Source organism: Homo sapiens, chromosome 1 (genome assembly GCF_000001405.40).
Source record: "Homo sapiens chromosome 1, GRCh38.p14 Primary Assembly".
NCBI lineage: Eukaryota > Metazoa > Chordata > Mammalia > Primates > Hominidae > Homo > Homo sapiens.
Genome location: NC_000001.11, coordinates 53,130,293 through 53,153,217, shown reverse-complemented (window position 1 = coordinate 53,153,217; position 22,925 = coordinate 53,130,293). Strand labels below are relative to the sequence as shown.

General features: G+C 45.9%; 1 protein-coding gene across 5 annotated transcripts in view; it reads left to right on the top strand.

Moving 5' to 3' along the window:
• The first annotated feature begins 10,579 nt into the window (after nucleotides 1-10,579).
• SLC1A7 (solute carrier family 1 member 7) overlaps nucleotides 10,580-22,925 on the top strand; it is a 55,456-nt gene continuing 43,110 nt past the window's right edge. For all 5 annotated transcript variants that reach the window (NR_109858.2, NM_001287597.2, NM_006671.6 and 2 more), the window contains exons 1-2: nucleotides 10,580-10,903; nucleotides 18,789-18,868. Coding sequence is in view for 4 of the 5 variants with exons in the window: in NM_001287597.2 (NP_001274526.1) it covers nucleotides 10,769-10,903; nucleotides 18,789-18,868 (215 nt within the window). In the remaining variant the exon portion in view is untranslated. The remainder of the gene's footprint in view (nucleotides 10,904-18,788; nucleotides 18,869-22,925) is intronic.

Genomic DNA, 22,925 nt, shown 5'->3' with positions numbered 1-22,925 from the left:
AAAGCTGTTTATAGCTTGCTATCAGCTTTGTTCTGGTAGGCTAGTCAGTATTGAAATCTGTTTGAGATTTTTTTTAAAGCCTTTTAAAGTCTAATTTTAGGAGGGATGAATTCAGACGCATGCCAGAGTGTGTATTTTACGGAATGTTCTTGATTAAGGAGATTTGTTTGTTAATTTTTCATTGTTTTTTAGTATGCCCAATTGATGAAATAAAATTTTCATTGTCTTACCATAAAGCTTTGATGATTAAGTAGAGGAATGCAGATATTGTAAAGCTTTTTGTGAGTTTTAAAAGTGCAATATAAAGCAACCACGTTTAAATAAAAATAATGATAACAATAAGAAGAAGAAATCATGGCCAAGTTGTGTTTATTTCTGTTATACAAGATTGTTACAATGTTTCACAGTTATTTAATATAATTCACCACATTAATAAATTAAAAGAGAAAAATAATTTGACAAAAATTTAACATCTGGCAGGGCACGGTAGCTCATGCCTATAATCCCAGCACGTGAGGAGGCTGAGGTGGGTGGATCACTTGAGGCCAGGAGTGTGAGAGCAGCCTGGGCAACATAGTGAAACTCGTCTCTACAAAAATTAGCCAGGTGTGGTGGCGCATGCCTGTAGTCCCAGCTACTTGGGAGGGTGAGGTGGGAGGATAGTTGAGCTCAGGAGGTGGAGATTGCTGTGAGCTATGATCATGCCATTGTACTCCAGCCTGGGTGACAGAGCGAGACCCTGTCTCAAAAAATAAAAATAAATAAAATAAAATTCAACATCAAAAAACCAAAAAGCAAAACCCCTTTTTAACAAACTAGGAATAAAAGAGAACGTTCTTAATCTGATAAAGGGCATGGGCAAAAACCCCCTATAGCAATGGCAATACTAATGGTAAAATGTTGAAAGCATTCCTCTTAAGATCAAGACCAAGACCTGAGTGCCTCACATCATGATTTTTATTCAGTTTTGTGCTAGAGGGCTCAGCCAGGGCTGTAAGGTGAACAAACAAACAAGCAAGCAAGCAACAAATAAAAAATACATAACATATATACATATATAATATACATATATAAAATATGGTGTAAGGATTGAAATGGAAGAAGCAAAGCTATTATTGTTTGCTGATGATATGCTTATCTACATAGAAAACCCCAAAGATTAAGAGAATATAGTCAGTCAACAGAATACAAAATCAAGGTGCAGGCCAGGTGCGGTTGCTCACGCCTGTAATCTCAGCACTTTGGGAGGCCAAGGCAGGCAGATCCCAAGGTCAGGAGTTCAAGACCAGCCTGGCCAATATGGTGAAACCCCATCTCTACTAATAATACAAAAATTAGCAGGGCATGGTGGCGCATGCCTATAGTCCCAGCTACTCGGGAGGCTGAGGCAGAAGAATCCCTTGAACCCAGGAGGCGGAGTTTGCAGTGAGCCAAGATAGAGCCACTGCACTTCAGCCTGAGTAAAAGAGCAAGACTCTGTCTCAAAAAAAAAAAAGAAAAGAAAAGAAAAAAATCAAGGTGCAATAATCAATTTTATGTCTATAGCAAAAAACAGAAAATGCAATAAAACAGAACGCTATTTACAGTAGCATAAAAATAAGATATATGAGAATAGATCTTTAAAAAGTTATTCAACACTTTTATGGAGCAAAATAAAACTATAGAAACAAGATCTAAATAAATTGAAAGATATGTTCACAAATTGGAAGAGTTAATATCATAAAGATGTTCATTCTCTCAAATTGATTTAAAAGTTCCCATGCAATTACAATAAAAATCTCAATTTTTTTCTGGAACTTGACAAGTTTTCCTTTAAAACGTTTTATTGAAGACTAATACATTCCTTTTTTTTTTTTTTTTTTTGAGGCAGAGTTTTGCTCTTGTTGCCCAGGCTGGAGTGCAGTGCAGTGGCGCCATCTCGGCTCATTGCAACCTCCGCCTCCCAGGTTCAAGTGATTCTCCAGCCTCAGCCTTCCAAGTAGCTGGGATTACAGGCATGCGCCACCATGCCCTGCTAATTTTTGTATTTTTAGTAGAGACGGGGTTTCACCATGTTTGTCAGGCTGGTCTTGAATTCCTGACCCCAGGCAATCCACCCACCTCGGCCTCCCAAAGTGCTGGGATTACAGGTGTGAACCACCATGCCCAGTGAAAACTAATACATTCCTGAAGAAGACAAAGATAGGACTTGCCTTGCAAAGTATCAAAAATTATCATTAACTTATAGTGATCCAGACAAGAGTGGTATTGACAAAGATATAGACAAACCAACCAATGGGAACCCAGAAACAGACCCAGACATATACAGAACTTGATTTTATTTCAGAGCAGCCATTTTAGTTTCAGGTGGAAGGATAGATTTTTCAATATGTGATACTAGGACAATTAGTAGATCTTAAAGAAAACGGGATATTAGACTCTTACATCAGTCTTTAACCAGGTTAGTTAATTACCTGTATGAGAAAAGGAAAAGTAAACTACTCTTAGAAATTTACACAGAAGAATAACTTTACTGGAGTGGGAGGTTTTTAAAATAAGACAGAGACAAGTCATAACAAAAAAGAATGATAGATTCAGTTACATTAAAAGTTAGAACTTCTGTTTATCTAAAGACAGATAAGTCATAAACAGGAAAACACATATAAACAATAAAGAGTTAATATCCAGATTATATAAAGAATATTTATAATGTATGTGAAAAGACAAACAACCCAATTAAAAATAGGCAAATGAACAGCAATTTCACCAAAGAGGAGGCATGGATGACTCACAAACATAGGACAATATATTCAGTCTCACTAATCAGGGAAATGCAAATTTAAACCACTATGGAACACCATTTCACACCTACCAGATTGGCAAGAGTTAAAAATTAATCAATATCAAATGTCAGTAACCATGCGGAACAATGGGAACTTACAGACATTGTGGGTGAACATATTAGTTGGTAAAACTAATTTGGAAACAGTTATTACCTACTAACGTTGACCATCTGCATAATCTGTGACCTAGCAATTCTATTGCTACGTATATATCCTAGAGAAACTCTTGTACATGTACATTAGTATTCAAGAATGTTTCTAGCAGCGTTGTTAAAATGATGGTCAAAAACTGGAAAAAAAAACCACAAACGTTCATAAACAGTATCTTATATATAATATTCCATTCATATCATGGAATGCTATATCACAGAGAAGAAAATTAACATTTTTTCAACAACATTGATGAATCAACAACTCAACAACATTGGTGAATCCTGTGCACTCTGTGGGTGAGGCCCCAGGTGCCTGCTGCCATAAAGGGCCGAGGCAGACATCAGAGAAGAAGACAAGCAACAAGGAACCTCGAGCCACTGACCCTAAGTTCTAGAGCAGCCTCACTGGATATAAGATGTTAGGCATTTTACACAAGAAAGAACAGAAAACCAAGGTTTTACTAAGCAAGCCATGCCAAGAGCTGAGTGCCTGGGACAATGTACTAGATATTTTGCTGTGTCTGCCTCATGTATCCACTTTTCTAACTGCTACTACACACATCTACAGAGTTACCATAGAAGCAGCAACTGTAAATAATGTGACCCTGCTCCCTGCCCCTACTGGCTGCAGGAGATTGGTCTAAACTGGGCCAGTCAGAACCTTCCCTGAGAACTGTGGCACTGGAGTGAAACAGAGCTGCTGGTGGCCATGCTTCCTCCCTGTGGACCACAGTAGTAGTGGAGATGGGTTCATTAGAGAAAGAATAATGTAACATAAATGTCATCACCAAATGTAGGCTCTATAAAAGCAGGGATTGTTGTCTATTTCGGTTTATTACAGTATTCCAAGTGTCCGGAATATGTCTGGCACATAGTAATAATAGTAACATAGATATAGATAGATAGATAGATAGTGCTTACTATGATCAGACAACTGTCTTAAGCTTCATACATGTAATTCATTTGCTCCTTATAACAACCCTATAAGGTAGAATATTATTATCCCTACACTCAATATGAGAAAACTAAAACTGGAACACAGAGTAACTTGCCTACAGTTCCAAAAAGAGTAGGTGAAGGAGCTAAGATTCAAACACAAGTCATTTGGTTCCTGAGTTTGTGCTCTTAATCAATACCTTATGCCACCTCTCAACATATATATGTTGAATGAAGAATGAATGGACAAATCAGACATGTAGAAAGGAGAGCTGGTGTGAGAGATAATTCCATTAACAATCAAGTACCTGGTTCAGAGGGTCTTTGCAGTTCAGTTCTGCTCTTGTCCTTGGGTTCTGCAAAACCCATGCTCACCTGGTCTTATAAATGGGACCGGTTTCCTGGTTCTATGATCTGCGCAGTAGCACAGGGCCCCATGCTCAGAAGGGCCCCTGTGCTTGGTTTAATGCTCTGTTGTCACTGTCACTAAATTCTTAATAATTTTATCTTTGAACTTGTGTCTTATAAGCAAAGTCTGATGGGACAATAGAGTATACACACAAACAGAAAAAACACGTCCAATATACATGCCGCCACTGGTAGTTGCCACTCCATCCTCATACAGCGTGTGTAATGTCCCATGAGCACAGAGTTCTGGTAAACTGGCAACGCATGGGAGTTCAGCAAGACTCAAATAGGTGTCAGGTAAGTGTGTTATGTCCACAGCTAAGTAAGCAGAGGCACCAAGACTCACGAGAAGCCTCACTTTCCTCAAACCAGAACTTGTTTCGAACATAGGAAGAACAAAAAATTGCATTCTAAAAATGCAAACGACCAAGGAATTTTATCATATCCTTTCTTACTAGTGTTACTCACCTGCATTAGCCAACTACTTAAACACTGAAAGTGATAACATCAACAGCAAGGGAATGAGAGGACCACCAGAGTTCCTTTTCTTTCCAGTTCTTCCTTACTCATCAGTGAGTCAAAGGTAGAGAGGACAGATGGAATGGATATGCATTGAGAAGTGAAATAAAAACAGTTGGATTAGTTTTGTGCAGCATTTCCACCATCTGGCAAAAAATGAAATACACACGCATGTATGAGCTACTAAATACAAACTGTATAACTTTGGTGATTCTGCATGTGAGTTAAATGCTCTTATATTTGCATTTAAAACTGGCATTGCACAGTGAGTGTGAAGATGAAGGGCCGGACACGGTGGCTCATGCTTGTAATCACAGCACTTTGGGAGGCCAAGGTGGGCGGATCACTTGAGGTCAGGAGTTCGAGACCAGCCTGACCAACATGGTGAAACCCCATCTCTACTAAAAATACAAAAATTAGCCGGGCGTGGTGGTGTGCGCCTGTAATCCCAGCTACTCAGGAGTCTGAGGCAGGAGATTCTCTTTAACCCAGGAGGCAGAGGTTGCAGTGAGCTGAGATCAAGCCACAGAACTCCAGCCTGGGTGACAGAGTAAGACTCCAGCTCAAAAAAAAAAAAAAAAAAAAAAGGTGAATGATAAAGTTAATGCTACTAATTTAAAATTGTTATTTTTATTTACTTAAGAATGACAAAATCACAAATAAAAAACATCATGATAAGTTGAGAGAGAGAAACTGTGGAAGAAATAAAGCTATATATTTTAGTACCTTTGATGCACTTTTTTCCTGCTTTTGGAAAGAAGAGCCCCACGTGCTCATTTTGCAGTGGGCCTCACAAATTACACAGTCAGCCCTGCTTATAAATTCCCTTTTAACCAAAGCCAGCTTGATTTAGTTTCCTAGTATTTATTAACAAAAATCCTAACTAATTTGGAAACCTAATCTAAACTGGCTGGAGGGTTTAACTTTATACTTTGTCCTAACTTTTATATGCAAATGAGAGGAAGTATGATGCAATGGAAAGTGCATGGGCTTTTATAGGCACAGAAAAGAGGCTCTGAGAGGTTCGCTAACTTCGGCAAAGTCGCACACCTTCCAAGCCAAAGGCTGAGCTTTGAATTTGGTTCAGGGTGACTGTAGAGAGTTCAGTAGAACTTTCTGTGATCATGGAAACGTTCTCTAACTGTGCTGTCCAACATGGTAGCTACTGGCCACATACAGCTATTGAGCCCTTGAAATGTGGCTAGTGCAACGGAGGGACTGAATTCTAAACTATATAAATTTTTTTTTGAGACAGGATCCTACACTGTTGCCCAGCATAGAGTGCAGTTCCATCACGGCTCACTGCAACTTCAAATTCCCAGGCTTCAAATGATCCTTTCACTTCAGCCTGCGAAGTACCTGAGACCACAGGCACACACGACCATGCCCAGTGAATTTTTAAAATTATTTGTATAAGCAGGGTCTCCCCATGTTGCCCAGGCTGGTCTGAAACTCCCGGGCTCAAGCCATCTTCCCACCTCAGCCTCCCAAAGTGCTGGGATTACAGGCATGAACCTCTGGGCCTGGTCCTATTTAATTTTGATTAATTTCAATTTAAGTAGTGTAATGGATGCTATGTAATTGTACTGCACAGACTTAGAGCCCCCAGGCTTGACTGACCCAGTGAATGTGGAGGGGTCCCTGGCTCCCCCTGGTCAGGGCCCTTCTAGGTGAAGGTGTCAGAGTACCCAGCCAGAGCCTGGTACACAGTCGGTGCTCAACACAGAGCGGCTCAGGGGCTTATGGGCGCCCAGGCCTCATTTCCATTAAGTGACAGATTTAGACGGGGGACTGGAAGGGAAAAAGGAAGGCGTGTGTCTGAGTTGCCACCACAGAGTCACTTTCTCCCATCCTCTGAGGCAAATGTGGGAAAGGACTAGCCCTCAGCGAGGTCAGGACAGCCCCTCGGTGACTAAAGCTCGCAGGAATCCACACCCAGCTGGATCAGCTGCATTTGTTGCCCACAGAAAACCTTCCCGGAAGGGCCCAGCTTCCAGCGAGCTGGGAAGACGTGTCAGGGAGATTAAGGCGCCTCTGGTATGTCTCTGGAAAGCAGCCAACATACCCCGAGCTGTCGTCACGACAGACCCAGATGGGAGCTCACCCGGCCAGACCTAAACTCATTTTGACACATGGTGGAAGGTGTAAGGCCCCAGCCCCGATGGCCACTGCAGCCCACCGATGCACTGCTAGCCCTGGGAGGCCCTGCTGTCACGCCTCCGGCCTAAATCAGACTGTCGTCTCCCCTCTCCCTTGACCAGCACCCCCTTCCCTGGCTTATTGAGGCCTCTGCCTAAACCACGTCTCCTCTGGGAAGCCTTCCTATCCCCGCCTTCCCAGGCTGGGTTGGCCCTGCCTGTAGCCCTGGCGAATCATTAATCATTAATCATTAGCAAATAAGTCAACCCCTGCTGCTCTCCCCACAGCATAACCCAAGCAGAGGGCCCGGTGAAGAACAGCTCAACTGCACACCTGCTTCTGCAGGGTGAGGCAGCTGCACCTGTGACTTGGCGTTCATTTTCGCCAACACCATGTCTCTTCTTTGCCATAGCATCTCAGTCTGTCCAGCTCAAGCCTCCCCAGAAGCATCTCTGAGGCCGCCTGCTGCCCATTATACAACACCTTGCTCCTCAGGCTATCCCTAGCACCCCGCTGCCCCTGCCAATATACCCTCCAACTTTGAGGATTCTCCATTGAGGTGATTTCAAATGACATGGTAACAAACAGAGATTTGATTTTATTTTCATAGATTCTTATTTCCTTGTCAGAGCCACTTAAAAGGGAGCTAGGTGAATCCCCAGCTGGTGACTGTGAAGGGCCTGAGTTAGAGTGAGAAAAAGAGAAGGTATTGTATCTAGGGTAATCAGGGAAGGCTTCGAAGAAGAGGGGGATTTAACCTGTAACTTTCGTGACAAGGAAGGACATTCTAGGCCAAGGAAATAGCACAGGCAAAGGTGCAGAAGCCTGAGACAGGATGCAGCGTTCCAGGACCCTGCAGTGGTTTGGTGTCATAGGAGCTGGAGGGGTGACGGAAGGAGTAGGAGGTAATGCTGAAAGGGTGAGGAAAAGGGTGAAAGTGCCTTGCAGGGGAGCATAGACTCGATGCTGCAGACCGGGGTTTCCCAGGCGTGTTCTCCAAACACCAGGCCCAGGGAGTTCTCTGCTCCAGAGGAGGGGTGGGATTCTCTATTCTCCACTTGGTGACTTCCTCCGACACAGCCGCTACTGTAAAGACTTTCATAGTAACTACCTGGGGCTATCTGCAAGGCACTGGGCCACGCTCTAACCATGGCGCATGCAGCACTGTATGACCCACATCAAAACCCTATGATCTAGGTACTGTTGCATTATCCCCATTTTACAGGGAAGTTAAGAAATGTTCCCAAGGTCACACAGCTGGTTGAAGGTAGAGCTGAGGTTTTAACTCTAGCAGTCTGACTTTGAGCTGTCTCAGAGGAAATAACGTGCTTAACTTTTTGTTTCGTCCAGCATTTCCCAAACTTCCTTTTGATGTAATTATGGAAAAATTGTCTTGCACATCTAGTGACATTGTAAAAGGCAGTTGATTCTTTGTCAATGGTGAACTATTATAGGGTTCTGACCCAGGAGACTTGATTTGATTTGCAAATATTCTTAGTAAACTCATTATCAGTCACTTACACTTTAGTGTGAATTAGTCCGTTCTTGGGGTCTCTCCACTTTCTTATAAGCTTCCTGAAGGCAGGGCAGGTACTGTCTGATTCACTGTTGTGTTTCTAGTACCCAGGGGGTGTGGCACACTAAATGGTGCTATAAGAACATTTGCTAGAGTGAGTTGAAATTCTCCTGTTGAAGACCGTAGGAACAGTGGAAAGAATGGCTGTAGTCTGGTAGGCAGGTAGTGGTAGGCTCAGCCTGTGGGAGAGAGGAGTCAGTGGTGGCTATAGGGCACGTCCTGGGAATGGGAGTCATGGAGCTGTGGTAGAAAGCAAGACTCACCTATATCATGGCACAGCTAAAGGCCAGGTCTGGGCTGGGTGTGGTGGCTCATGCCTGCAGTCCCAACACGTTAGGAGGCCAAGATGGGAGGATTGTTTGAGCCCAGGAGTTGATCAAAACCCAAATCCAAATACCTACTTAGCATATTTTCTCTTCTGGGAAGTAACTAACCACCTGATTATTTGGAAAATGAGGCATTTGTTGGAGTTGAAGGTGTAGCAAGAAACTTTTGGTTTTAAGAGTCAAAGTCAGAGGAAAAAAAACTCTCAGACTTGTATTCACCCCCACCCCCCACCCCAAGCTACTGCAAAGAGCAGGGGCTTTGGAAGATTGGTTTGTTGAAATGAAGTTCCTTTGACAAAGGTACCTGGGCCCATTTCTCTCATTCTAAAAAGGACAAGACTGATACCCAGAGACGGCAAGGTCACAGAGCTGATTAAATTGGGATCAGAATCTTCTCAGTCAGGAGCTCTGTCCATGGCTTCAGAGCCTGTGCCCCAGTCCCCTCTCCCCACCTCTCCCCTATGCCCCACTTGGCCCGTCCTCTTCATCCTCTGCCCCTGTCTCCTATGTCAGGAGGAGGAAGCCCCTGTGTGCACCCCACCCTTTACCTCCCACCCTCACTGCAGACTGCACTTCCCATTCCCTGCTGCCTGCTGCCTGACTGCTCCTAATGAGATTACAGATCTCTGGTGAAATAGACGAGGGTTAATTCCCCCAGGCTTTACAGGGCAGGGCAGGCCAGGCCACAAGAAATAGCAAAAAGACACCTATTCTCCAAAGCACTAAGTGTGATAATGACCCTAAGAGTCCGTTCCCCTGTTCAGCACACCAGGGTTCACACTGCGTTTCCAAATACCCTCTGGGTGGAATTTTGTACCAGCCCTAACAAAGTAGATGCTGTTATCATCTCTATTTTACAGATGGAGAAACTGAGGCACAGTGAGATGAAATGCTTGTCTGAGGTCACACAGCTAGTAAGTGGCAGAGCTGGGACCCGAATGTGGGTCTCTTGGGCTCTGTCATCTTTAAAAAATAATAGGCCCAGAGAGCCTGCAGGGTGCCCAGCACCAGGCTTGAAACAGCCCTGAAGCATCTACGTCCCATTTCCCGGTGAGTGGCACAGCCCACCTTTGAACTCAGGTCCCCTGGACTCGAATCTACATTCCCCACAATACTGCCAAGCACCCTTGAACCTATCTGCCTGTTCATGTGGTGGAAACAGACTGGCCTAGCCCTGACTTCTGACCTCTGTGACCATGGCCAAGGGACTGGCTTCTGGGGTCTCAGCCTCCCTTTCTGAAAAATGAAGGTGGGAACCCTGGGATCTTTGGGACAATTCCCTATGATTGGCATAGCTAAGGCAGCCAGCACAGGCCTGGCCCGCAGCACATGCACCCACCCACCTCAGTTTCTTTATCTGTAAAATGGTGATATTAATAGTACTTATTTCTTGGGATTGGTGTTAGGATTAAATATGCCAGTACATGTAACACTCTTCTAGAATGGCACCTGGTGCATAGTAAATGCTTAATTAATGTTGAGGGAAACTGATATCTTACTGTCTTGTTTTTGATTCTTTCTGGAAGGAAGCAGGGGTAAAGATCAAACCAACCAAGCAAATGTTCCTCTTGTTCCTTCCAGTACCTGGTCCACTCAACTGTTTAAGAGGAACGCTTGGCTTTGAGGCCTGAACTCCTAGACCACGTGGTCTGCTCTAATTTCCCAGGCCCTAATCTGCTCCCAGCTCCTAATGATGCAGCTGGTAATAGGATTGTGGCTTCCCTCTAAGGCGGCCACACGGGCATGGCCGTGGGGCTGGCGACTGGTGTTTAGCAACTCCGACCACCTGCCTGCTGAGGGGCTAGAGCCCTCAGCCCAGACCCTGTGCCCCCGGCCGGGCTCTCATGCGTGGAATGGTGCTGTGCCCCTTGCCAGCAGGCCAGGCTCACCATGGTGCCGCATGCCATCTTGGCACGGGGGAGGGACGTGTGCAGGCGGAATGGACTCCTCATCCTGTCTGTGCTGTCTGTCATCGTGGGCTGCCTCCTCGGCTTCTTCTTGAGGACCCGGCGCCTCTCACCACAGGTCAGCCACCCAGAGCATCTCGGGACCCCTGTCCAGGAGGGGCGTGTGGGCCTGAGGGATCTGGGGTCCCGTTCTAGCATCACAGCTCCCTGGTGCCATGACAGTGTGTGAATCCCTCTGCCTCTCTGGGTCCTGGTTTTCTCATCTGTAACATGGGTGTGATAAACACTTTGCAGGACTAGAGGGAAGAACCAGTGATGTGGCTGGGGAGTGATTACAAACCCAGCACCATCAGGTGAGGAGAGGCGAGGGTGCCTCATGATGACAAACACAGGGCCAAGAGCTGTGGCGGGGAAAGAGGGGGGTCTTGTGTGAGTTCAAACAGGCACCAGAGAACACCTCCTAAAGGCTGCTCAAATGACAAGAGATCCAGGAAGCGTGCTCTAGGCAGAGGTGACAGCAGATGCCAGGTGCAGCGGCCGGAGCGCAGAGGCCAGCAGGCCCATAGGTCCCATCGCCACACGTGGGCTTGCGGCAACCATGAGATGCTTTTGGGCAGAAGAGCGACAGGCCAGTTTGGAGCTTGGGAGACCCCTCAGGTGCTGAGTGGAGAGGGGGTGATTCTGGGGCAGGCAGGGGGCCGAGAAGGGGCAGCCTGGGGGAGATGCGGCAGTGCAGACAAAAGGGACAGACGTGAGAACTGTTTTCAAAAGGGGGAGCTTCAGGATGTGGGGGCCGATTGGATGTGGGCTGGGGGACAGGAAGGGGAGCCAGGCCCCGGGTTTCCAGCCTGTGTAACTGCCATGAAGAAGCTGCGTTTCCTGGGAAAGAGCCCCTTTCCCTGTCAGCCCCCATCTCCTACAGGAGAGGGAGGGACATTCCCATGGTGTTAAGGACAAAATCATTCTGCCACTAGTTAAACTGGTAAGGAAGGCTCTATTCAGGACTATTGTGGTAGGGGGGTAGTTATCAAGACCTCCTGGGGAGAGAGATGGGACCCAACCACAAATACAACAAAGATGGCTGGAGATTTATAGCCAGCGAGCAGAGGGAGGGGGTCGGGGACAGAAAATGACTACAGGAGACATCAGGGTAGGGGGATTCTTGTTGAAGGCAGGCCAGGGTGATCAGACATTGATCTGGGATGAGGAATTTGATCCAGTATCAGGATGCTGGAGGGTGAGGGATCCTCACTAAACTGACTTGGCAGGACTTTTGCTACAGCTGGACTATGCAGGCTGAAGACAAGGCCCAAGGACAAAGCCCAGTGGAAAAGAGGGCTCAGAGGAGCCTGTCTAAAGTGTGGTCAAGGAGAGAGGCTTTGTCAATGGGCTCCTGGAAGAGTCCCTATTCCCAGAAAGTCCTCTTCCCGCAGCTCACTAATGTCTAATGCCATCTCTACAACTGGGGTCAGGCATTAGACTTTGTCTTCCATTAAAAGGAAAACACCCACTCCTGGAGAACTGAGCCACGACTATAGTGACCCTGTTAAGCCTCGAGCAGTTATTTAGGAAGAAGCATGGACTCTGGAGGCAGAGAAACCCTGAACTTTGACTCTGCTAGCAAATGGCTAGGCAATATCCTCTCTCCTCCCTGGGCCTCAGTTTCCTTGTCTGTAAAATGGGATGTGGGGCAGTATATGTCTACTAGAATTATTATGAGGAATAAACCAAGGATTCATCAATGCCCAGCATACAGTAGGTGCTTACTACGTGTTACTTCCCCCTCCCTCCCTTATGTACCTGTTAAAGTCCTATCTACATCAGGAACCATCTCATCATCCATAGCTGATGAAAGTAACTGTAACCCCGCTGCTGGCTGCCTGGCTTCAGAGCTGGTTATATGGGTGTCTCTTTCTCCCACCAAGCTGCATATTGCTGAACAACATATGGGTTTGTTTTTTTTTTTAACCAAAACGTGAGCCTAGCCCTGTGTCAGGCACAGAGAGAACGCTCAACTATCTGCTGCATTAAACTGGCAATGGAACAAAAAAATCTGCAATCTGTTCTCTTTAATTTTCCTCAGCAACAAAAATATATCTCCTGCAGGAAGATTATTTTGTGAAAACAAATTGGAATGCCTATTATTAAAAGCCAAACTCATCTGGGGCCTACTTTGCCAAAGCTGCCTTTCCCATCTGTTTGGAAATGCAAATGTATTCCAGTCTGGATTAACCTGCCAGATAAATTGAAGGAAGGATGTAGAGGCTTAGAACAATTATTTGGCAGAAACTGGCTTTCTCAGCATCTTACTTTGAAATCTGGGATTTCTCTGTTTGATCTCTTTGCCTGTGACTCAGAAACTAAACACTTCTTGTTTTGTAAGCTTATGCAACAGGCAAAAATCATAAACAATATGGAAAATGGTAGAATGTTCTATTTGTGAAAAAGAACTTTTATCCTTGATAAAATCACAGGATTTTATCTTGGTGTATGAGTGTCTCATTTAAAAATACTGAGCATTTTGAGACTTCCAGTTAAACCATGGTGAATCACAGGTGTATCCATTTTTTTCCCTCCTTCCTAGAATTCCACTAACATTTTAGTAATGGGATTTTTAAAAGGTAAAACCACCAAGAATAAAGAGAATATAAAAGGAGACAGTTGAGAAAAAGAAATAGAGAGGCTACAACAAATTAGATAATATGGAGGTGGGTGGAGCTGATGACCTCATTCACAGAAAGCTGGAATCTTAGTCTGTGGAAGTTGATACCAAGTCAGTTTGTCTTGCAGACTCCAGAACGTAACAGAGCAAGATGCTGCACTAGGCAGGGTGAGGCTGGGGTTGAAAGCCTGGGCATGGTTTGGAGTTTTGTAACCAGAGCAGTTAGACCCCTAGGGACCTTCCAATTCAGTTGGGGGACTCATCCACCCATCTCCACCCACTGCCTGCCCCAAGGAACCAGAGAAGCTGGACTTGAGGGTATTGGGCCACCCCTGTGTGTGTTGGGGAGAGGGCCATGCTGAGGCACCTACTTCAAACTAATTAACAGACATCCTTGTCTGAGTGGGGTCCCCAGCACGGTTTCAGATCGCTGTCAGCTGAGCTTAGGCACCATGTCATTCCTCAGCCAAAGGCAGGAAGAGACTTCTCTCACTGAGGCCTCAGAGAAAAGATCTCTAAATTCTGCTATAAAGGAGACTCCTCTACCATCCCACCCAGCCCCAGTGAAAAAGCCAGATCAGCACCTGTCACCCTGCCCTGAGGGCCGTCAGTTGACAAACCCTACTCATACATGCAGAAGTTTAGCGCTTCAAACTTACATACGAGCAGAAAGCCACGCCACCAGAAATGTGAGGAGGCTCCTAATGTGAAACAGAGTAAACGAAGAGAAAAGGGGGTCTCTAATGAGAGAAACAAAGAGAAAAGTGGGTCTCTAGTGAAGCAGAGACAAGGCGGGGAGGAGAAGGAAGCTTTGTAAATCTCCTCTTAAGCTTTCTGGAGCTGCGAGTGAAGATATAGTTACCGTACAACAGAGGGGATGTGAAAAGAAGGAACAATCAGAGAACAAGAAAGAATCTGGGGAAATTAAAAATAGAAGAACTAAGATAAAAATGTGAGTAGCTGCCCAACACATAGAAAGGATAAATACTCGAAGTGTTGGAGACCCTGAATACCCTGATTTGAACATTACACAGTGTATTTAACAATATACCAACTGTATCCCATAAATATGTACAAATATTATATATTAATATAAAAACTTTGGCTAGGCCTGGTGGCTCATGCCTGTAATCCTAGCACTTTGGGAGGCCAAGGCGGGTGGATTGCCTGACCCCAGGCATTCAGGGCCAGCCTGGGCAACATGGTGTGAGACCCCATCTCCAAAAAAAAAAAAAAAATTAATGTCAATAACTGGGATAAAGTTGTAGAAATCTCCCAGAAACTAGAACAAAAATAAATGAAAATAGAAAAAGAAAATATAAGAAAATTAGAATGTTCAATGTCCAGCTACCTAATGACACTTTTAGAGACAGCTAACAGAAGAAAAATAGAGGAGAAACAGTTTGCAGAGAATCTAAGCAGTTTCTCAGAAGTGAAAGGCAAGCATAGCACTGTCAATTTTGTTTACAAAAGAAAGAAAACCCCATACTATGGCCCATCACCATGAAATTACCAAAAAGTGGAGATAAACTGATGATCTTTGGATGGTTCTGGTGGAATAAAACCAACCTCATCTAAGGAACAGGAAATCAGAATGGCTTTGAACATCTTAAGCAAACTGGAAGCTAGAAGACAAGGGAGAAACACCTTCTAAACCTGAGGGGAAATTATTTCCAACGAAGTATCTCACACATGGCCAGGCTAATATCAGAGGTAAAGGTAGAATAAAGGCATTTTTACTCATGTAAGGACTCAGAAAAGTTTATCTCCCATCCACTCTTTCTCAGAAAGCTACCAAAGGAGATGTTTCAGCAAAACAAGGAAGTAAACCAAGAGGACAAAGGATCCCAGAAACAGGGGGCCCTCTAAAGGACAAGTCCCAGAATGACAACCAAGAAGGAAACCATGACAAGCACTGGGCCTAGAGAGCAGTCAGTCCAAACTGGAGCAGGAAGGTGGAAAGCTCACAGACCAAGGCCCCAGGCAGGATAAAAGAGAACTGATGTGCTTGAGAGAGCAGAAAATACTATTGTTAGGTAGTTTAGTAGACATGTTAAAATGTTTGGAAGAAATTAGTGGGTGATTCCCAGAAAACAAGACAAATAAAAATCAGTCAATTAACTTTAGGCTACAAGCAAGGAGACATGGTTGTAGTACATTACTTGGCTCAATGGTAAACACTGTTTGGCGATCAAAACATTGTAAATCTTGATTTACTAAAAAATTGATATAAATATAATGCTGAAATAGGTGGAGAGAAAGGGAGTAAGAACTAACTCCTCATCAATCATGGCAGGGAAATTGATAGATGTCAAAATGATGAATCAAGAAATAGCATTATGACCATATTATCTAGAAATAGTGATACTATGGGAAACAGCTAGAAGAACTGAGCATGTTCACTACTGGGAAGTTGCAAGATAGGGATAGAGAGAGGTGAGGCAAGAGCTGCCTTTTTATCAGTAGAGCACTTTTTTTTTTTTGGAGATAGCGTCTCCCTCTGTTGCCCAGGCTGGAGTGCAGTGGTGCGATCTTAGCTCACTGCAATCCCCGCCTCCTGGGTTCAAGCGAATCTTGTGCTTCAGCCTCCTGAGTAGCTGGGACTACAGGCATGCACCACCATGCCCAGCTAATTTTTGTATTTTTAGTAGAGATGGGGTTTTGCCATGTTGGCTGGGCTGGTCTCGAACTCTTAACCTCAAGTGATCCACCTACCTTGGCCTCCCAAAGTGCTGGGATTACAGGCATAAGCCACTGAGCCTGGCTATTAGAGCACTTTTAACTTAAAGAATATATACATGTGGGTGCCAGTGCAGTGGCTCACACCTATAATCCCAGCACTTTGGGAGGCCTAGCTGGGAGGACTGTTTGAGTCCAGGAGTTTGAGACTAGTCTGGGCAACATAGTGAGACACTGTCTCTACAAAAAATACAAAAATTAGCTGGGCTTGGTGGCATACATCTGTGGTCTCAGCTACTCGGGAGCCTGAGGTGTGAAGATTACTTGAGCCCAGGAGGTGGAGGTTGCAGTGAGCTGAAATCATGCCACTGCCCTCCTGCCTGGGTAACAGAATGAGACCTTGTCTCAAAAAAAAAAAAAAAAAATATATATATATATAATATATATATGTTTTTATATATTATATATGTTTATATATATTATATATGTTTATATATTATATATGTTTATATATTATATATGTTTATATATATGTTTATATATATTATATATATGTTTATATAAATATATGGACTAAAGTTAATTAAAAATATATTGTTGGCAGGGCATGGTGGCTCACGCCTGTAATCCAAGCACTTTGGGAGGCCGAGGCGGGCGGATCAACAAGGTCAGGAGATTAAGACCATCCTGGCAAACATGGTGAAACCCCATCTCTACTAAAATACACAAATTTAGCCGGGCATAGTGGCGCGCACCTGTAGTCCCAGCTACTTGGGAGGGTGAGGCAGGGGGATTGGTTGAACCTGGGAGGCGGAGGTTGCAGTGAGCCGAGATGGCACCACTGCACTGCACTCCAGCCTGGTGACAGAGCAAGACTCTGTCTAAAAAATATATATATATAATATATAATTATATATATTATTTTATATATATATATATAGAGAGAGAGAGAGTCATGATGGGCATATTTCTTTAAAAAGCAGATTTTCTGGTGCATTGGAAATGTTAGCAGTCCTGGTCCTGTGCTGCGGTTAACATTGGGTGGGTCTGTCACCTCCCTTTTGCGGTTCAGCTTCCTCATCTATCACATGAGTGGGCTGGGCTAGAAGATCTCAAGAGTCCCCTCATAGCACCAACATTTGATGATTTGGAGATTTTTAAAGCATCAGATCATCAACCGAGTATGTTTGGCTTTGGTTAAAAAAAAATAGTTGCAAGTACAACAATTCAACTTGGATGATGTTTGAAAGTCCATTTGCCTGCCTCGCCCACAACCTCACCCTCTGAAGAAAGTGGCCCCATGCCAGGGTTGCCAGAAGTAGCAGAACTGAATTAAGTTAAAAAATTTTATAAACAGCACACCCAGTTAAACTGGAGTTTCAGATAAACAGCATTTTTTTTTTTTAGTATAAGAATGAACTATATGTTGTTATCTGAAAGTCTGATTTAACTGGGCTTAGCAGCCCTTCTGCTTCAGTTGTCAGGTCCTGGTCACGTGACTGTTACTTGCGAGACAGCTTATTGGGCAAGGAGTTGGCGCCTTAGTCAGAGATCCGTGGACAGGCTGGAGCCAGCGGCCTAGGAAGGGGTCAGGCGTAAGAACTCTGCCAAAGGGGGCTGTTTCTACCGCGTGGTGTTGCACCCATTCAATCTGATCCTCTCTCTCTCAGCATTTTCGAGGAGAAGCACTAGAGAATGGACCCAAAACAGATGGAGAAACTGACTCGCAAGGCGGCCATGGTCTGCTTAGGAGTGGGTCTCCTCACCAGCTAGGCTGGGAACTTCTCAGGACAGGAACCCTGCCTAGTTCATGTTGGGGTACCCACTGTGATGCGTGGCACGATGCGGGTTGAATGAATGCATGAACAGTACTCGGCTCTGTCCTCTGGTCACCTGCCATCTGCTACACGAGAGAGATTTTATTCCATGGCTAGGCAGATGCGTGGTGCAGATGGAGGAGAGCTGTTATTTTCAGGATTACCAAACATTGGCTGTCATCCAGGCGCTGTGCTAAGTGCTTGCGTGCATTCTCCCGTTTAAGCCCCCCAATGACCCTGTGAGGCAGAGCAGTCCCCCCTTATCCGCCATTTCGCTTTCTGTGATTTCAGTTACCGATGGTCTGAAAAATGGGTGAGAACAGTACTGGAAGATATTTTAAGAGAGACCACATTCACATAACTTTTATTACAGTATATTCTAATCGCTCCATTTGATTATTAGTTACTGTTAATCTCTTACTGTGTCTAATTTATGAATTACATTTTATCGTAGGTATGTACATATAGGAAAAAAACAACGTCCACAGGGTTCAGTCTCTGTGGTTTCAGGCATCCACTGGCGGTCTCGGAACCTGTCCGCTGAGAATAAGTAGGGACTACTGTAGTTATTACCCTCATGTTACAGATGAGAAAAATACAAAACTCAGAGTGGTCACAGAAGATGCTTAAGGCCACACAGCTTGTGGGGGATTGGTGGAGGCGGGGTGTTTACCAGGATTGGAACCCAGTTCTGTGGCTCCAAAGCCAGTTCTTTCTCCATGGTCTCTGCTGCCATGTGCTAGACAGGGGAGTCAGATGGGATAGTGCTTCAAAGACTGTGAAGAACGGAACCACTGTGCAGTCTGCATCTCTTGCTATAACCCCAGTTCTTACTGTGTTTTCAGGAAATTAGTTACTTCCAGTTCCCTGGAGAGCTCCTGATGAGGATGCTGAAGATGATGATCCTGCCACTGGTGGTCTCCAGGTGAGAGCGGGGGTTTGACCAGGTGGTCCGGAACCAGGAGGGTAGAGGATGGCTTCTGTTGCTGCCCTGCTCCTGCTGTGGGTGGCTGGAGAGCAACCACAGGCCCTGGGATGAGTGTGACCGTGGGGCCTTTATGGGCAGTGCCGTGGGCTGCCGGCTTCTGAGTCATTCAGTGGCCCCAGTTGTTGGTTCCATCCAGTAGAATTTTTAGTGGATAGAACAGGTGATTTGGAATCAACGGATATGACCCGACTCCAAGATAGCTCAAGGCCAGGGAGTTGAGGGTTGGCTTCCCAGAGGAGGGGCTGTTCATGGTAATGCAGCAAGGCCTGGGGAAAAGAGAACTAACTCTGAGGATACTCCAGTGATCACAGCCTGGCTTGGCTGTGTAACCTTGGACATATTACCTCACCTCTCTACGCCTCAGTTTCCTCATCTGTAAAATGGGAATAACAACACCTACTTCGAAGGGTTGTCATGAAGACTATATGTTGTGTATGCTGAGCACTCAGGAGGTTGGGACTTGGGGACAAGGGCGGGATGGTGCGAGATGAATTTGGACGGTGAGCTCTTGCCCAATCATGAACGACCTTGAACACCAGGCTGAAGAATTCAGACCTTACCCAGTAGGGTGCGGGCCATGGAAATCATGGGAGATCACTTGGTCCCTTTCACTGATGTGCTAGGTGAACTTGAGCAACCCTATCCCTGTCCAGGTCTTGAGTATTCCAGATGTATAATGAGTGGCTGCTCCAGGTGGTGTCTAAGAGCCTTTTGCTCTGAGGCCATGAGAAATCTTCATCTTCCAGGACTCCTCTGCAGAGAGGAAAGAGGATGAGCCTCTGCATGCGTTCTGCCTCCCAGCCTCCCTGCTGCTGAGCAGTGAGCCAGCTCCTTGGACCTCCCCCCTTTGTGAAGTGGAGATAATCCCCAGGCCAAGGGCGCTTTGTATTTTCTGCACAGAGGCCTTTGCAAGCAGCATTTAAATTTCTCAGGACTCAGCCTTCAAGGCTCTGCTGAAATGCTACCTCCCTCAGGAAGCCTTCCCTGACTCCTCAACTCACTCTAGTGACTGTCTCCTCTTTCTGCATCTTTGGAGTCATTCACTGAGCCTGTGAATCTGTCAGGGTCAGCAGTCCTCTGTGTTGCTGAATCTGTACGACACGTCCAGTTCTTCCACACGGCCTCTCCACAGCCATGGGTGCAGCTGATTACTCTTGCCCTCATGAAATGCCCTTCCCTATGGACTCACACTCTTCTAACTTTTTGCCTGCTTTCTGCCCCTCCATCTTGGTCTCTCTCCTTCTACTCAACCTCCAAATGTTCAGCTTCTCCAGCCTTTTCTCATCTAATTTCATAGCTTTAACATACCACCTACAAGCCCAATGCCCCCAGATGGAGATCTCCCCAGACCTCTCCTGTGAGCTCCATACTTCATTAACCAACTGCCTATTTGACATCTCCACTTGGATGTTTCACAAACGTTTCAAGTTTTGTTTTGTTTGAGATAGGATCTTGCCCTGTCGCCCAGGCTAGAGTGCAGTGGCACAATCTCAGCTCACTGCAGCCTCGGCTTCCTGGGTTCAAGTGATCCTCCTACCTCAGCCCCCCAAGTAGCTGGGACCACAGGCACACACCACCACACCTAATTATTTTTTGTATTTTTTGTAGAGGCGGGGTCTCACCATGTTGCCCAGGCTGGTCTCAAACTCCTGAGCTCCAGCAATCCACCTGCCTCAGCCTCCCAAAGTGCGGGAATTATAGGCATGAGCCACCGTGCCCAGCCACACTTCAAGTTTAATGTCACCAACTTGAAGTTCCACCCAGAAAACTGCCTCCTTTTCCTGTTTTCTTCTTGTCTGCAAATGGCAGCTCCATCACCCAGGTCTTCCATCGGGCCTGTCATTGGCTATCCTCTTTCTCTCAACCCCACAGCCCCATCCACAGTTCCAGTGGATTCTGCCTACTCAGTCGAAGAATGGAGCTTCCTCCCAACCCTACAGGCCCGGGCACTCTCTTCTCACGTCCAGACTCCACCGCCACCTCACTGGTCTCCTCGCCTCACTTCTTGTCCCCGTCCCATCTATTCCACCCAGTGGCCAGAAGGATCTTGAGAAAAGCAGATTGGGCCCTGCCCCTCATTTACCTTCAACAGCTTCCATGACATGTAGAATCAACCTGCAGACCATTAACCTGGTCTAGGAGGCCCTGCATGATCTGCCTCGCCCACCCCACCTCATCCCATGTCACATACTCCAGTCCCACCAGCCTCAAGTTCCCTAAGCAGACCAAGCCCTTACCATCTCAGGGCCTCCACACGTGCTGTTCCTTCCTCTGGAACATGCTTCCCCAACATCTTACATCTCTTCTTCTTCCTCTTTTTTTCCATCTCAACTTGCACATCATCTTCTTAGGAAGGCCCTCCCCACCAACCCCTTCATGCCACCCTGGCTCTCCCTTACTGTACCCTGTTCCCTCCCGGCCACAGCACATATCATATGTTGTCATTCTATATGCATTCACTTGTTAACTGGTTTCTTTATCCACTGGGCTGTAAGCTTTGCAAAGTTAACGAGGCTACTCTGCCTAGATTCAACTCTGTGTTGTCAGCACCTAGCCAAGTGCCAGGCACATAGTAGGTGCTCATTAATACTGGTCAAGTGAATTAATTAATGGATCCTGCAATCATGCATTGTGCTTTCTGGACACTTGGCCCTGTGCTGGGTGCTGCAGACACAGAGATGATGGAGAGACTGTCCTGTGGTGTTCACAGACTGCTGGGGAGACTGACAGGAAAATAGACAATCACAGAACAGCTAAATAAGTGCACTGGTGGAGGAAGCCAGGACCCTTGGCAGGCAGTTCTGTCTGCCCTTTCCTGCTGACTGTCCTAACTGCCTGGGCATTGCCCCTCTCTCAGAACAGAGGCACCTTAGAGGCCATTGTATGGACCCTGGTGTCACACAGCCTGGCCTTGCTATGTATTAGCTGTGTGGCCTTGGACAAGTCACTCAAAACAAAAAAATCCTGTTCAGAAGTCAGAGGCCAGGGTCCTCGACCTGCCTCCACCACAAGCGATCATGTGATCTGAGGTGAGGCCCCCAACCCTGGGCTTCTTTACCCAGCAACGAAGGCCCGTCCAGCTCTCCACCTTCTGGCTCTCAAATGCCTGGTCTCCCTCCACCAGACTCAGTGTTCTCTTGGCTGGAAATGCATGTGATATTAAGTTGAGAAAAGCCAGGACGTGTTCATACATTTCATTTGTTTATTATAGAGTTTGGACTGGTGCAGAGCAACCGTGTCACTAAGAAATGGAACCGCTTTAACATTTTCCTATGAAGGGAAAATTAAACCTTCAGGGGGGAGATATGACGCATTTCTGAGTCCTAAAACCCCTCGTTCCTGAACTCTCCCTCCTTTGGCCTCAAACTGGCCTATTATCCATCCTGGCCAGGAGTCCATCCACACTGTCCCCTGAGCTCTTGCTCCTGGCCAGCCCAGGGCTGGGTGTCCCTGCCTTTGAGGAACAGCCACTCTGGTGTGAGGTTGTTACTCAGGGCAGAGCAAAATCACCAGAGCTGCTTTGAAAAATTCAGATGTCAGGCCTGACCCTGAGCTGACTGAGCTAGAACCCCAAAGGGTCCAAGCAGAGGTTTGCTTTCAGAGCTCCGAAAGTATTCTGAGGATTTTAAATCTCTTGATTGTCCTGGGGTCAGACCTTCTGGCTCCACAGCTTAGGAGCCCAGCAGGAGGCTGTGGTGCTCCCATCCCCAGGGGCTCCAAGCTGTGACCCAGGAAGGCAAGGGTTTTCTGCAGTGTGTCCTGGCTACAGGGCAGTAGCGGGGGAGTGGGGGGATGGGGGCAGGGGGTTACATTTGGGCTCACCAGCTTCCAGTTCCAACCATCTGCAGGTCTGGGCCTCGAAGCCTGGCTCCCATGACATCTGTTCCCACCTCCTCTCCAGGACAAACAGCCACCCTTTCCCCATGCCAAGCCCTGGAACCAGGCTGGTCACCCACTAGTCCCACAGCATGCCACAAGGGTCTATCTCCACACT